The following is a 14,269-nucleotide window of genomic DNA, read 5'->3' as shown; positions in this document are numbered from 1 at the left end:
ATGGCGAAAACCCATCTCTACTAAAAACACAAAAATTAGCCGGGCATGACAGCGGGCGCCTGTAGTCCCAGCTACTCAGGAGGCTGAACCACGAGAATGGCTTGAATGGGGAGGTGGATGTTGCAGTGGGCCAAGATCCCGCCACTGCACTCCAGCCTGGGCAATAGAGCAAGACTCTGTCTCAAAAAGATAAAAAGAAAAAAGAAAATATTTCAGGGACTGAAAGTTGTCTCTGCATTTCCCTCCTGCTGTTTGCCTTCAGCCTTCTCGTATGACCTTAAGTTTGGAGAGGATCTTCTAATGAACCTAGCCAGTGTTCCATCTGAGGCAGCAATGTGCTCTATGATTTCTCTGCGTGTGGTTGACTCTCCAGCTTCTCTATTTGGAGTTCTCCTCTTGAGGCAGTCAGTGCCATTGCTGGACAGCTCCAGGTGTTGCAAAATTTTTCTTCAAATTAAAATCTGCTTTCTTCTAACTTCTACTCACGGGTTTTGTTCGGCCTACTGGGGCCCCACAGAATATCCATTTTTGATTCTTCTTTCAATATTTAAAGATGGGTGTCATATTACCCCCAAGTCTACTCTTATCAAGACACATATCCTCAGTTTTTCAACTATTTCTTCTATAAAGTGGTCTCCAGACCTTTTGGTTTCTTCGCCACACAACCCTAAATCCTCTCTAGTTTATCAATGCACCTATGAAAATATGGGGTCCAAAAGAGGGCTAACTGTCAGCCTGGGTCATTTTAGGGAGGCAGAGGGGAGTTGGCAGCATATGGTAGAAAGAACCTGGATTTGGGCCTTAGTTGTGCCCCCAGTTAGCTGTGTGGCCTTGGGTAAGACCCTACCCTTCTCTGAGCTTTAGTGTCCCCATCTATAAATTCATTTGAGGGTCCCTTCAGCACTCTTTTTTTTTTTTTATCCCTGTCCATATTCTTCTCTGAGTCCCAGGCCTGCCATCTGTTTTCCCCAGTATCCTAAGGCTGGGGAACACAAAATAGGCCAAGAACTGAGATTGCAGGGAATTTTGACCCAGCCTAGAGACAATAAAGGGGAAGGCAATGTCTCAGTTTCATACCATAGCTTTTCCCAGCAGCATGGACCCACAGACACATGTTTAACTTGGGTTCCACCGAAATATTCACCTCCTTCTCAGGCCATAGAGAGCAGGAGCGGAAGCACAACATCAGAGAAGTCAGATAGTGTCACTAAATTAGTGCCAAGAAGGGAGTATCTGGCACCCAGATTTTGGTGAGGAGATCTTGGACCTGTATGTTATACTCTCCCCTGCACCTCTTTTCCCTGTGGCCCCTTTTCTCTGTCTTCATTTGTTCCCCAAACTGAGCTCTCCTGACCCCATCAGAAGAGCCTACGAAGCCTAGGACCCTCAATGCCCACCCTACCATAACCTGCAGGCCAGCTTCCTAACCCAATTGAATGAGCCACAACCATACCTGGTGCTAGAACGAGGTCACTTTTATTTTTCTTTTTGTATGAAATTGGGGATGCAACCAGAAGGAATCACACAGAGATATGTGACACAGACCCCTGGGGCCTGCTCTTGGGAGTATCAGGAAGAGGCAAGGGTCACAGGGCAGGCTGGGGAGAGAAAAGAGGCAGATGGGACCAGGTAGGATTGTCTAGGGGTGGAGGGAGTTGAGGAAGGACATCCAGGAGCCCTGGAGCTGGGGGAGGAGCACTATCCTGGAGGACTAGAGTGTCAGGACAGGTGGATCTGGGGAAAGGATATGGTGTGGCAAGCAAAGGGCATGCTCACACACACCAGGAGTTGAAGAAGGAGCAAGAAAAGGAAAGGCGTAAGCAGGGAGGAAGCAAGAGAGACCCAGCTAGAGCTGCTGGGAGCCCCTCACTCTACCCCAAAGTGCACAACTCGGCAATAAATAGCAATATTTATAAATAAATAAATAAGTAAATAAATAGATGAATAAATAAATAAATAAATAAATATACTTGTAGAGCTAGGAGTTTGGTGCGAGGGAGGAGGGAGCACAGAAATGCAGTGAGTTCATTTCTTCTATGCAGGTTCTAAGGCCCTTCATTCCACTGCTGACCCTGAGCTATAGTGCGCAGGTGGGGATCAGCAGCATGGAGTAGGGGCGCAGAGTTGGGGGTCTCTTCCCTTGCCAAAGGCAGCTCAAGGAAAGAGAAAAAAATGTAATAAGTAAGTCCTAGGGCCAGGAGAACTGTGCATTTTCAGAGGGCAACAATTGGGCATCCTCCTTGCGTTGGGGGGAGGAACCAGTGAGGGTGCTGCACATTTTCAGAGTGGGCTGAGATGAGGAAGCAGAAGTGAGATGTGGCCCACTCGTTGCCTGAGCCTTCTGCAAATACTCCGGGCTGTTTGGGATGTCATCCCCTAATCCGGAATCTAGGTTTTTGTTTTTTTTTTTCTCTAGTGACACACAGGGAGGGAGAAAATTGGGACAGTAGGAGTCAGAGGGACAGGGAAGTAGCCAAATAGCTCAAAGAGGGCAAGGCACTCACTACCAAGTAAGATCTGAGGTCTGTATGTGCTAAGCCACAGGAACAAGATGGACAGAAACAGGAAGAGTTTTTCCATAATTCCCAGCTACTGAGATTCCCCTCACAGGAGTCAGGGCACCAACCCCTGCCTCCCCAGGGCCTCACCCCTCTGCCAAGCACTGAGAGACTGAGATCTTGGAGGAAGAAGCCCACTCCCCACTCTAACCCCAGCCTTCCTCCCTTGCAATTCTGACAGCCCATCCCCACCAGGGGCAGGAGAAGCTAGAACAGATAGGATACACAGCTGAGGTCTGTGGTGGCTGAAAATTTGGACATAGGGGTAGAAGAGGCAGCATTCAGTGAGAGAGCTTGGGGGCAGACTCCAAGTGTGGCTGGCTTAGTAAAGCCAGCAAGGATTCCATACCAACCACACTAGCAAACAATTCTGCACAGCTGGGCCTCAGCAATAAACCCCGGAAGGAACCCAGGAGAATAGCCCTCGAGGTGCCTGGGTCAGAGAAAGGAAGAGGCCCTCATGACCAGCCGGTGGGCTCTCTGCCTGTGCCCAGGGCCTTTGGGACTCCATGCCAAGGTATAAGGGCTCGGGGAGGATGCGGCCTTTCTAAGCAGTGAGCGGTGGAAAGGGGCCCCAGAGAGGCCCGGGAGGTGGGAGACAGGCTGAGTTCAGACGTCCAGCACGTGGTTCAGGTAGGAGATATAGCAGATGGCCAGGCGCAGAATCTCAATCTTGGAGAGCTTCTTGTCGGGGGGCAGCGTAGGCAGCAGCTTGCGCAGCTCGGCGAAGGCCAGGTTGAAGGCTTCCACGCGGATGCGTTCTCGCGTGGCGTGGGCCGTGCGGTACTTGGCTGTGGCGCGGCGCCGGCGCCGGCGCTCCTCGCGGCTCAGATGCTGCAGGTCTTTCCGGCCAGGCTCTCCCGGCTCTGGGCCTCGGGCCTGGCCCCCTCCCGGACCCCCAGGCCCGGCACCATCAGGGCCCGCCCCGCCCCCACAGTCACTGAAGCCCGACTCAGTCTCTGAGTGGGTGGGCGGCAGGTCCAGCTCCATGGTGTCTGAGTTGAGCATCATGATGGAAGCCCCCTGCCCTGTGAGATCAGGATCCCCTCCCCACCCCTCCCTCTGGGAGCTTGAAAGCTGGTGGTGGGAGGGGGAGGAAGGGGGAGGAAGGGTCGTGGGGTCTGCCACTGAGCTCTAGAAGTCACTGCCACTTCAGGGTTCCATGGTCAGGGTGCCAGTCTGAAGCCTGAAAAAGAGAAGAGAGAAGTGATAGCAGCGGAGGGAGGAGGGAATGCTCAGCTCAGAGGTGGGAAAGCAGGTTTGAGATGGGCTGGGAGGGGTAAGGAACTGTGAATGTGAGGGAAGAACAGCAGAAACTGGTGGGGGTCGGGGGGTGGGGAGAGGCCGAGAGACAGAGAGGCAGGTGGACAGGGTGAAAGGAAGAGGAGGACGAAAGGTAGTAAGAAGGGAAGAGAAAACGAGTAACAGGAAAGGAACAGAAGTGATGAGAAGGATACACCAGGCAGGTTAAAACTGAGCAAGAGGATTAAAGACTTAAAACCATAAAACTCCTAGAAGAAAACATAGGGAGAGACCTTCATGATGTTGGACTCAGCAGTGATTTCTTGGAAATGACACCAAAAGCACAGGCAACAAAAAGCAAAAATAGAAAAAACGGGACCACATCAGACTTTAATTTATTGACGAACATAATCAACAGAGTGAAAAGGCAATCTATGGAATGGGAGAAAATATTTGCAAATTATATATCTGATAAGGGGTTAATATCCAGAACATATAAATAAATCCTACAACTCAACAACAGCAAAAAATCAAATAACCCAATTTAAAAATGGGCAAAGGAGGGATTGGGAGGGGCGTGAAATGAGAAATTACAGAATGGGTACCGTGTATGTTATTCAGGTGATGGACATCCTAAGAGCCCTGACTTGACCATTATGCAATCTATGCATGTAACAAAATTGCACTTGTACCCCATAAATTTATATAAATAAACATTTTTTAAGAAAAAAATGGGTAAAGGACTAGAATACACATTTCTCCAAAGATTTTATACAAATGGCCAACAAGCATATGAAAAAATGTTCAACATCACTAATCATTAAAATGCAAATCAAACCCACTATGAAATATCACTTCATACCCATTAGGATGGCTACTATAAAAACAAAAACCAAACAAACAAAAAATAAGTCTTGGCAAGGATGTGGAGAAATTGGAACCCTTATGCCTTGTTGGGATTGCAAAATGATGCAACCACTATGGAAAACAGTATAAATGTTCCTCAAAAAATAAAAAATAGAACTACCATATGCTCCAGGAATCCTACCTCTGGGTATATATACAAATAAAGTAGGGTGTCAAAGAGATATTTGCACACTCATGTTCATAGCAGCACTATTCACAATAGCCAAGAGGTAGAAGCAACCCAAATGTCCATCAATAGACAACAGATAAACAAAATGTATTATATACATACAGTGGAATATTATTCAGCCCTAAAAAGGAAGTTCTGTCACATGCTACAGCATGAATGAACCTTGAGGATATGATGATAAGTGAAATAAACCAGTAACAACACAAATACTGTATAGCTCCACTTATATGAGGTATTTAAAGTAGTCTAATTCATAGAAACAGAAAGTAGAATGGCCGTTGCCAGGGGCTGGAGGGAGGGGGTAAAGGGGAGTTGTTGTTTAGTGGGTATAGAATTATACATTTGCAGGATGAAAAATTGCTAGAGATCTGTTTCACAACAATGTGAATATACTGAACACTACTGAATTGTACACTTAAAAATGGTTAAGATTATAAATTGTATGCTGTTTTTTATCTAAATGAATAAATAAAAGGAGGAAAAAATCTGAGCAAGACTGCAGCCACAGCCCCAAGAGAAGTTAGCTATGACTCTAGATGCTTCCCAGTTGTGAGGGGAGAATACAAGCCTTGGCCCTGTGGTCCCCTCCCTCTCAGGGCCCCTCTCCACCCTTGCTGCCTGAGGTGGAGGAGCGGATAAACACACAGATTGCCCATTGTAGAATAGACTAGGACATATGGAGCTCTGCGCAGCTGCCCCAGCTCTGCACAGCTCCCCTCCCAGTTCCCCAAACCTTCCCAGCAGAACCATTGTAGATATGAGATCCTGTCCACTAAAACCAGGGGAAGATATCTCTTCTCACCACCACCCCACTGTGCACAACCAGCCTCTTCCTCCACCTCTGTCTTCGAAATTTTCAGCCCTTGCCATTCCCTGGCCCTTTTGGAGGCTGGGCAAGGAAGATTGGGGAAAGGGAACATAATCAACCTTCTACCCCCATACTCTCCCATAGCCCAAGGAAGGTTCAGACACGGCCTGCAGAGGACACAGACAGATTTTTGGAGCTACCCTTATGGGACTCAGCTAAGGTTTGCTTGTCCTAGGACCAGAGGAGATCAGGGCAAGGCAGCACAAACATGGCCTGGGAAAAGCTGGGGAAAGGGCTTTGCTTGTGTGCAGTGTTAAAGGGGAACAGTGGGCCACTCACCATCAGCTCAACTAAGAATGATTAGAAACAGAAGCACCAAGGTGCCTGCACCATCACTATCTCCCCTTCCTCCCCAGCCCTGGCTTTCCTGTCTGATAGATACTCTCAAAGGGGTTAGGATCCTCCCAAGCCTTGCCCCACCCCACCACACAGAAGATAGGTTCAAGTCAAGCCAACAAACAGCTATGAAGCTCTGGAGGGATGCAAAGTCATCCACATCTGATGACAAGTACACACACAATCTTAACAGGAAACAGAAGGTGGTTAGTGCTGAAATTGAGAACACATTCCATATTCTGGGGTTCAAATGAACTATGGGGGGATGGCAATAGTGTGGGAGGCCCCAAAGTCAGCACCTCCCAGTACATGTTTAGTGCCCCCAACTCCCCACCCCCCATGCTGGGGCTGGGAGCAGGAGTTCAGCTGCGGAGTTCCCAACACATTTATCACATCTATCACAGGCTAATTCTCTCTGCCCGGTCCCTATGTTCCTTCATCCCTCATCACTTTGCCATGCCCTTCCTTCCCCTCTCCGTGCTCCCCATCTGGCCCCAGTCTCATCTCCACCTGGCCCCATTGTCCTCCCCAGTTCCAGTCCCGGCAGCAGCTTCTATTTACCCATCAAGTCCTCACCCCCAAATCCACTTCTGGTCTCAAAGTTCCAGGGTCCAAGGATCAGGGGAGCAGCAATTCCAAGCCTGCAGGACAGGACTTCCCACCCCACTTCTGCCAGCCCTAACCCAACTGAGGATAGATAGGCACAAAGAGTCGAAGGGGAGGAGTGGAGAAGAGGGACACGCGGAGACAGGGAGAGACACAGCGCACAAGGGAGAGAACTAGAGGGAGGCTCTAGGAAGGGGCTTGAGCCAGAGAATGGGAGGGACACGCCCATCCCTCCCCGCCCATGGTTTCCCCTTTACCTAGAAGGACCCTGTCAGGGGATCCAAGCCGGCAGGACAAGGGGCAGCGTTGACAGCCCCAGTCTCCTCTGGGTGCTCAAGGCTCATCCGTCTGCAAAGTTAGTGACCAGCTTTCTAGACTCTCAGGGGTAGCGTGGCATGGCTGTACAGGCTCCAGGGCAGATAAGAGGGGTACACATTGTGGGGGTGTAGGGCCCAGGTGGAAGTGGTGGGCTTGGCCAGGTACTGGGGCCAGCCACACTCACACACACACCCTCAGACACACACACCTGAGCTGGCCCAGCCCTATGTATATATATGGAGATACACACACACACCCCCAGCTCTCCATTGGCTGGCCCAGGCCCACCCCCCCCTCATCAATATTAAACAGCCAGGCCAGGCAGCCATTGGCAGAGGGATCTGGGAACCCCTCGGGAGCTGGGGGCGGGGGCTGGCCCTGGGTGGGGGCGGGGAGCGGGGGAGCAGGGACATCTGTTCTCCATGCATATTTCATAAGCAAGAAATGGAGAGCTGGGGAAGGGGTGGGGCTGGGGCGAGAGCCAGGGCAGGACCACAGATGAACCCCCTCAGTCTCCCACACCAGAGGCAGCAGGGCAGAGGCTCCCAGCAAGCTATGGTTAAGTGCCATGGCCCCATTCGGAGTCCCAGCGTGACTTGGACAGCCCCTTCCTGGTGTCTCTTTTTTCCTGAGAGGGAGACTCTTCAAGGTACTAACAGGGAAACCGAGAAAAGAGCAAGTGGGTAGCACTAAAATGCAGAAGAGGACCCTAGGGTCCTGGCCCTCAAGCTCTTATCCTTCATAAAGCTGGTACCCACTGCTTGCCAGCCTGCCTGTAGCAACTGTTCAGGCCCCTACCCTCATCACCCTGGGACTCAATCACCCCCATACCCTCTTACCCCACCCGCTATCTTCCTACCTAACCCATCACCAAGGGGAGGAGCAGGATCAAATTTGGGACACAGACCCCACAAGGAGTTTTTCTAGGCTGGCCAGCCCAACCTGACCCACTGGGAATTAGAGGGCTCTTAGGAAGAAAGAGGTAAGGGCTAAAAGGAGAGGAGTGGAGGAGTGCCAAGACAGGAAGAACCAGGATTGGAAGGACACTGGGAGAGGAGGGCAGGGCAGCCTAGGCAGGCTCTGAGTGTGTTTTGAGGGCATCAAATCAGCAATAAGAAAACCAGACACAAAATTATATGCAAATGGGCACTGATTAAGCTCCCATCAATAGCTCAGCAGCCTCCAGCATGTATATGCAAGTGTGTGTGAATGTGAATGTAAGTGTGAGTGTGTGTGTGTATGTGTGTGTTGCCGAGTGGCAGGATTGAGGAGGGGCAGCACAGGGACCAGAGTGCATAGAGAGACAGTGCATAGAGGGTTTCAGTGTCTGAAGTTCTCTCCCCACTCAGCTGTTGGATGTCTTCTCTGAACCTTTGAGAGTATTCAAAAGAACCATGACTGGAGAGGACTCCAGAGGTAGTGTGGTACAGTGAAAAAGGCTCTGTCAGCTGTGTGACCTTGGACAAATAACAACCTTTTGAGCCTGGACCTCTTTTCCTGTAAAATGGGGTTGATTATAGCTGCTTCTTAGGTTGCCATGGAAATTAAGGGAGATAATATGTGTAGTGGGCCTAGAGCTTAGTAGGAGCACATCCCACCTTCAGGCTGGAGGGACTTGCCATTTCCCTGTTGCTGGTCAACCTTTTCTGGGCTTTCTCCAGGGTGAAGCATTCCCTAAGGGGGTCCCATAATTCCTCCCCAAGCTCCCCCACCTGCCCCCATCCCTGAGTCTGGGAGGTGCCAACTCCCACCTGGGCAGGCCCAGACAGGTGCCCAGGCGCCAGCAGATGGGCTGAGCTGGAGGGGAAAGGAGGCTTGAGGAGGGGGGCTGGGGGGCAGGGGATCAGGTGGCATCTCAGTTCTTGCATCATCATTGCCATGGTGCTGATTAAAAACCAATCTCCACCTAATGAGCCCCCAGCAACAACAATTCTACCTCCTCCACTCTCCTGCCCTCCACCCCATCCAAGAAATTGGGAGACCAAGAGACTCAGGAGAGAGTGCCATGGGGGAGATGAGAGATACAGAAAGAAGGGGAGATGAACAGAGACAGGGGAAGCGGAGGGAAACGACGAGAAAGACACGGGAAGATACCGAGACTCAGGGAGAGAAAAAAATGAGAAACCAGAGTCATTGGGTAACAGACATGGGAAAGACATAGGGAAATGGGAAGACACAGTCTCATGGGGAGATTGAGACACAAAGGAGGTAAAAAGATTTAAAAAAAAAAAAAAAAAAAAGAATGGAAACAGAATTGCCAGGTTGCCAAGGCTTTGTGGAAGACTTGGAGACCCAAGCTATGGGAGAGATAGAGACTTGGGGAGAGGCTTTAAAAGAGGATGCTGTGGCCGGGCACGGTGGCTCACGCCTGTAATCTCAGCACTTTGGGAGGCCGAGGCGGGTGGATCACCTAAGGTCAGGAGTTTGAGACCAGCCTGACCAACATGGTGAAACCCTGTCTCTACTAAAAATACAAAAATTAGTTGGGCGTGGTGGTGGGCGCCTGTAATCCCAGCTACTCGAGAGGCTGAGACAGGAGAATCGCTTGAACCCGGGAGGCAGAGGTTGCAGTGAGCCAAAATTGTGCCATTGCACTCCAGCCTGGGTGACAAGAGCAAGACTCCGTCAAAAAAAAAAAAAAGGAGGCTGCTAGGGAGACACAGACTTGGATGAATACATATGTGGAGGAAACAGCTATTCAGCGGCAGGGAAATACTGACACCATGAGACAGAGTCCTGAGGGAGGCCCCAAGGCAAGGTGGGGCCACATAGGCACGGGGTAAGCAGAGAGCAGACAGTTGGGAGGAAACAAAAAATACCAGAGACAAAGAGAACAAGGTGGGGAAAGGTGATAAACTGAACGATGGAGATGAGGAACTATTACTGAAACAGGGAGGCCAGATCCCAAAAAGTAAGACATTGAGGAAAAAAGAAGCAGAATCTAGAGAGACCCCCGAAGCAGAAAGGAACCTTGAGGATGGCATAGAGCATGCAGGAAGAAGCCAAACCCCTTGCAGGGCTCCCTCCTTTCAGGCCATTTTGCTCAGATACTTAAGCTCTGCAACCTCCATCCCTGAAGCACACCGCCTGAACCCGTCGCAGTTCAAGCTAAGGTTCCACGGGAGAGGAGGGTGAAAGAGTGCTCTGGGGGCTGCTCCTCCTCCTCTGCATCTGGCATCCCAGGATCCTGGACTCTGGGGCCTCCTGCCCCAGTTTTCACTTAGGATTTCAGCTTTTGCTCCTTAGGGGAGTAGCTAAAAAAGAACATAGTTGTGACAAAGAGGACATAAACGCATGAAATGGTGGGAAGAACTACATCTACTAAATTTGGGGGCAGCTACACATGGGTCTAAGTCCTGGTGACCTTGGATAAGTCACTTAACCTTGGCTGAGTTTTATTTTGTTATAGTAGTGACACCCAGGTGAAATAATGCATGGGAAAGTGCTAGGTGAACTGTATAAAGTGCTCATCCCAACCTCCTATGGTGATTTAAAAGTGGCAAGAAGTTTCATACACACATATATCTGAAGCATTATGATTGTGGAGGCAGGGGAGAGCTCTGAGGCCAACCCAGGTTGTCTGGCCTCTGGCCCCAGTGAAAGGGAGAACCCTTGGAGTTGTGTGTGGGTCTTTGCTGCAAGGAGGACAGGAAGACCAGGGCCTGGGGATAAGGAGGATGATTATGGCTTTATAGTTTGTTGTTATTTTACTTTCTTTTTGTTGTTTAAAAATCTCCACTGGCTTTTATTTGCTATAATCCGATAATCAAGCAAAACCTGATACAATAGAATGAGTGTTCCTGCTATTTTACATTTTATAGGCATTCACTTTTTCAGATCATGATTCACAAATCTTTCCCCATAGCCTGAGAGGTAGATCGTTGAGGGAGGGGAGGGAGGTTGGTGTGTAGGGAAGACACAGGGGCCTGGGCCTTGTCCTTGAGGGTGGGGGGAGGGCCTGGAGGAGCTGGGAAGCAGTGGGTTTGGCAGGAGAGGGGGTGACATATGTGGGGAGCCCTGGGGACCCAACCAGGCAAGCGGCTGGCAGGGACAGCAGACGACATTAACCCTCGCTGTGCCACACCGCCTGACCCTTCCCAGGAGTGGCCTATGGCTAGGGTGTTATTTTGTAACAGTGGCAGTGTTTTGGGTCACAGGAGCAAGACAGGCAGAGCTTGCTCCTCCTGGGCAGGAGCTGTTGTTTCTGGGAAGGGACAGCCTGTCTTGGATGTCTTCTGTCTTAGCTTCTTTCCTTGTTTTTCCACATGGTCTCTGTCAGTCTGTCTTTCTCTGTCTCCACCTCTCTGTGCCTCTGGAAGGTGACAGCGGGTCTCCACTCTGGCTCACTACACAATCTGTCACTCTCTCTGCTGCCAGCCCGGCTGGAAGCCCCCCTTCTCAGCACCCAACTGAGCCCTCTCCTCCCGGCCCTCTAGGCTGTATTGCCTTTGTCTCCTAAGGCGGCCTCCCCTTTCTTCTCTCCTCTTCACTCACCTCTCCTCAGCTCATAGTCCATCTCCAATCTCATTATGGCCTCCAACCACTGGGCTCCCCCCTAACCCCCCCAACCTCTTCTCTTCCCTCCCCCATCCATCTGTCTTCCCTGAAGCTCTCTTCTTTGTGTCCACCCATCTGTCACCACCAGCTCTGGGCTTACTCCCCTCCTGGCCACGCCCGCCTGGCCTTTCTCCCCTCAGGCTCGGATCCCTCTCAGCACAGCTTTCAGCCTCCCTTTCCGCCTTCAGCCCTTCCAGGAACCCCCTACTTCCTTAGTTTCCTTTCACTAGCTTATCCTTTTCTGGATACCCTCTCATTTCACTTTTTTTCTTTCTTCCCTCAGTTTATCTAACTCCTTCTCAGTTGTGAGTTGGGGGAGATAGTGGGGACTCTAGGGGTCCTAGCCCCCAGCTTCTGAGCATCCAACTAGCCTGAGCCAGAGGCTGTAACATTTACTCACAATTGCATCATCTCCGACTAATGACTTCTCCTTAGGCCTCCTGAGATGACCCCTCCACTCCTGCTCCAAGTTTCCCCTGACTGGGGACAGGGGCAACAGCTGCCCTTTTCCACAATAGGAGTGGGAGAGCTCCTCTAGCTTTGGAGTTTGAATTCAGGAAGGAATAAAAATCCAATCTGAGGCCCATTGGGACCCCAACCTTCCAGGGGTCCCTGCTTCCCCAGTTTAACTTCGATTCCTGCCAAACTTTTTTTGGGAATGGGATGCTGGGTGACAGGGTCTTTTCTATGGTGTTATGCCACAGTTTCCCCATATTCCTGCTGTCCCTGGGTTATAGGGCAATAGTGCCCCTCAGGCTTTCCTCCCTAGAGTTGATTCTCCGGCTACCTTTGAAAGTTCAGGAATTGATCAACCTCTCAAACGTTCCCTGTTCCGAGTTTTCAGATGAAGGGAGAAGGAAGAGGCTTCAATTCCAGCTCTCTCTTCAAAGAACAAGACTGACAGAGCCAGGGGGGACCTGAGAGCAGTCCCTTGTCTAACTACACTTTACAGAGGGAGGAAATGCCCTTTCCAAGGTCACAAAGAGCATTAGTGGCAGAATCCTGGTCCTTAGCTTTTCCCACGACGTTCCTCCATACTGGCCTCGCCTGGGAAGGAAACCTTTCATCCTCTGAACTTCTCTGTAGAACTTGTTTATAGCACTGATTTTGCATGGGGCCTATGCTGCCTTGCCTGTTATTTATCTTATGTCTCGTCCTGCCATCTAGACTCTAGGTCCCAAATCTCCAAGGGAAGTTGCTCTATCTCTTCCCCTTTGTCCATGCTGGGCAGAATGCCCTGCCCAGAGCCATGCTCAATAAATGCTTATTACTGCTGTGGCTGCCCGTGCAGATGTACAGAAGGTTCTAATCCTAGTTCTGTCTCTAATTTGCTGTGTGACCTTGGGCAAGCCACATCACTCCTCTGGGCTGTTTCTCTCTTCAGTCAAATGAGTTAGACTATGCAAATGATTTCTAAGGTCCCTTGAAGAAACAAAAGTCCTACTGAATAATGGTGACACAGAGTACTCTGGGTAAACAGTATCTCATCCTAATATGTACCTTTGAGAGCAGTGGCCCAGAGATGAAAAAGAAAAAAATAGAAAATCCCTTTACTCAAATAAGCTGGGAAAGAAACACCAGTGGGTAGGAAAGGCTTCGTCTTGAGGGACGAGATATCACAATAGGCAGAGGCAGGCTGGGTCTTGGGGCAGGAGTGGTCAGTTATTCAATTATTGGCATGGGTTGGGAGGAAGAGAAGGTACAGTGTCAGCTAGCAACAAGCAGGAGTAGGTAGGGAGGAAAGCCCTCAGGGAAAGGAAAGGGGCTGGAAAATGAAATATTTCAGAAGGCATGGGTAGGCAAGGCCTAGATCAAGGGAGAGGTGGAGGCTAAGGAACTGAGAAGTACATGGCCCATTAGATGCTTCCAGCCAGTCACACATGGTCTTCAGGGCATAGGAGATACCTGGTAAGAAGCCAGAACCATGGTCTCAGAAAGGGAGGGTGAGAGCCCAGTGGGTCATCTGGATGGCTGTGCTCCTTCTATGGGGCCTGGCCTCTCCATGAGCCATGGAAAAAGCTAAGCTGGTTTTTTAGGAGGTGGAAGGTAAGGGAACATGGAAGGCAGCAGACAAGCTTGTGTTCAGGATGCTTCCCTAGGCAGAGGACATTGAAGTAGTGACAGTCCTACATCTTGTAACTTCTTACTTACCCCTTGATCACGATTCCGCCCAACCGTGTTTCCCTGTTCAGCCCCCTCACTGGTACCCAGCCACTTCTCTGCTTCCTGAAGCTGCCAGCAGGATGAGGGAGTTTACTGCTCTGTCCGCTGGGAGACCTGTTGGCCGAGGGAGGTGTGGAGCCTGGCCCAGTCGATGGTGGCAGCTGTGCTCGACTTCCGCCAGCATCACACAGCCTCTCCAGCTCAAACTGGGAGGGTTGGGGTGGGGGAGAAGTAGCAGGGTGTATTTCATCTCTTGAACTCCAAACATGTCTCCCTTCCCCCCAGGGGAACTTGGAGAGAAACCTGGAGAAAAATCACCTCTTCTCAGCAGGATTTGAAAAGGTAAGTAGTCCAATCAGGGAACTAAGAGGAGTGCTTGAGACCCTGTGAATACTGCCAGCCAGTCCCTTTCCATTGCTGCGAGTATTCAGGCACGTGTCAGAAGCAGCCTCCTGGCCAGCAGTGGAGTGAAGGCTGGGTTTAGGCTTCTGCTCCTGCAGGTTCTCTTTCCCCCTTGGCTGACTC

At 50.4% G+C, this 14,269-nt stretch overlaps 1 protein-coding gene across 1 annotated transcript; it reads right to left on the bottom strand.

Moving 5' to 3' along the window:
• Positions 1–1,454: 1,454 nt before the first annotated feature.
• NHLH1 (nescient helix-loop-helix 1) lies at positions 1,455–7,230 on the bottom strand. The gene is made up of 2 exons (NM_005598.4): positions 6,964–7,230; positions 1,455–3,744 (listed from the first exon to the last, which is right to left on the bottom strand). The coding sequence occupies exon 2, from the start codon at positions 3,567–3,569 to the stop codon at positions 3,168–3,170; it is 402 nt and encodes a 133-aa protein (NP_005589.1). The 5' UTR covers positions 3,570–3,744; positions 6,964–7,230; the 3' UTR covers positions 1,455–3,167.

This window comes from Homo sapiens, chromosome 1 (assembly GCF_000001405.40).
Source record: "Homo sapiens chromosome 1, GRCh38.p14 Primary Assembly".
NCBI classification, from domain to species: domain Eukaryota; kingdom Metazoa; phylum Chordata; class Mammalia; order Primates; family Hominidae; genus Homo; species Homo sapiens.
This window is presented reverse-complemented; position numbering and strand designations above follow the sequence as displayed.

Coding starts and splice junctions, on each gene's coding strand:
- NHLH1 (NM_005598.4), bottom strand. CDS start 3,569: ATGATGCTCAACTCAGACACCATGGAGCTGGACCTGCCGCCCACCCAC.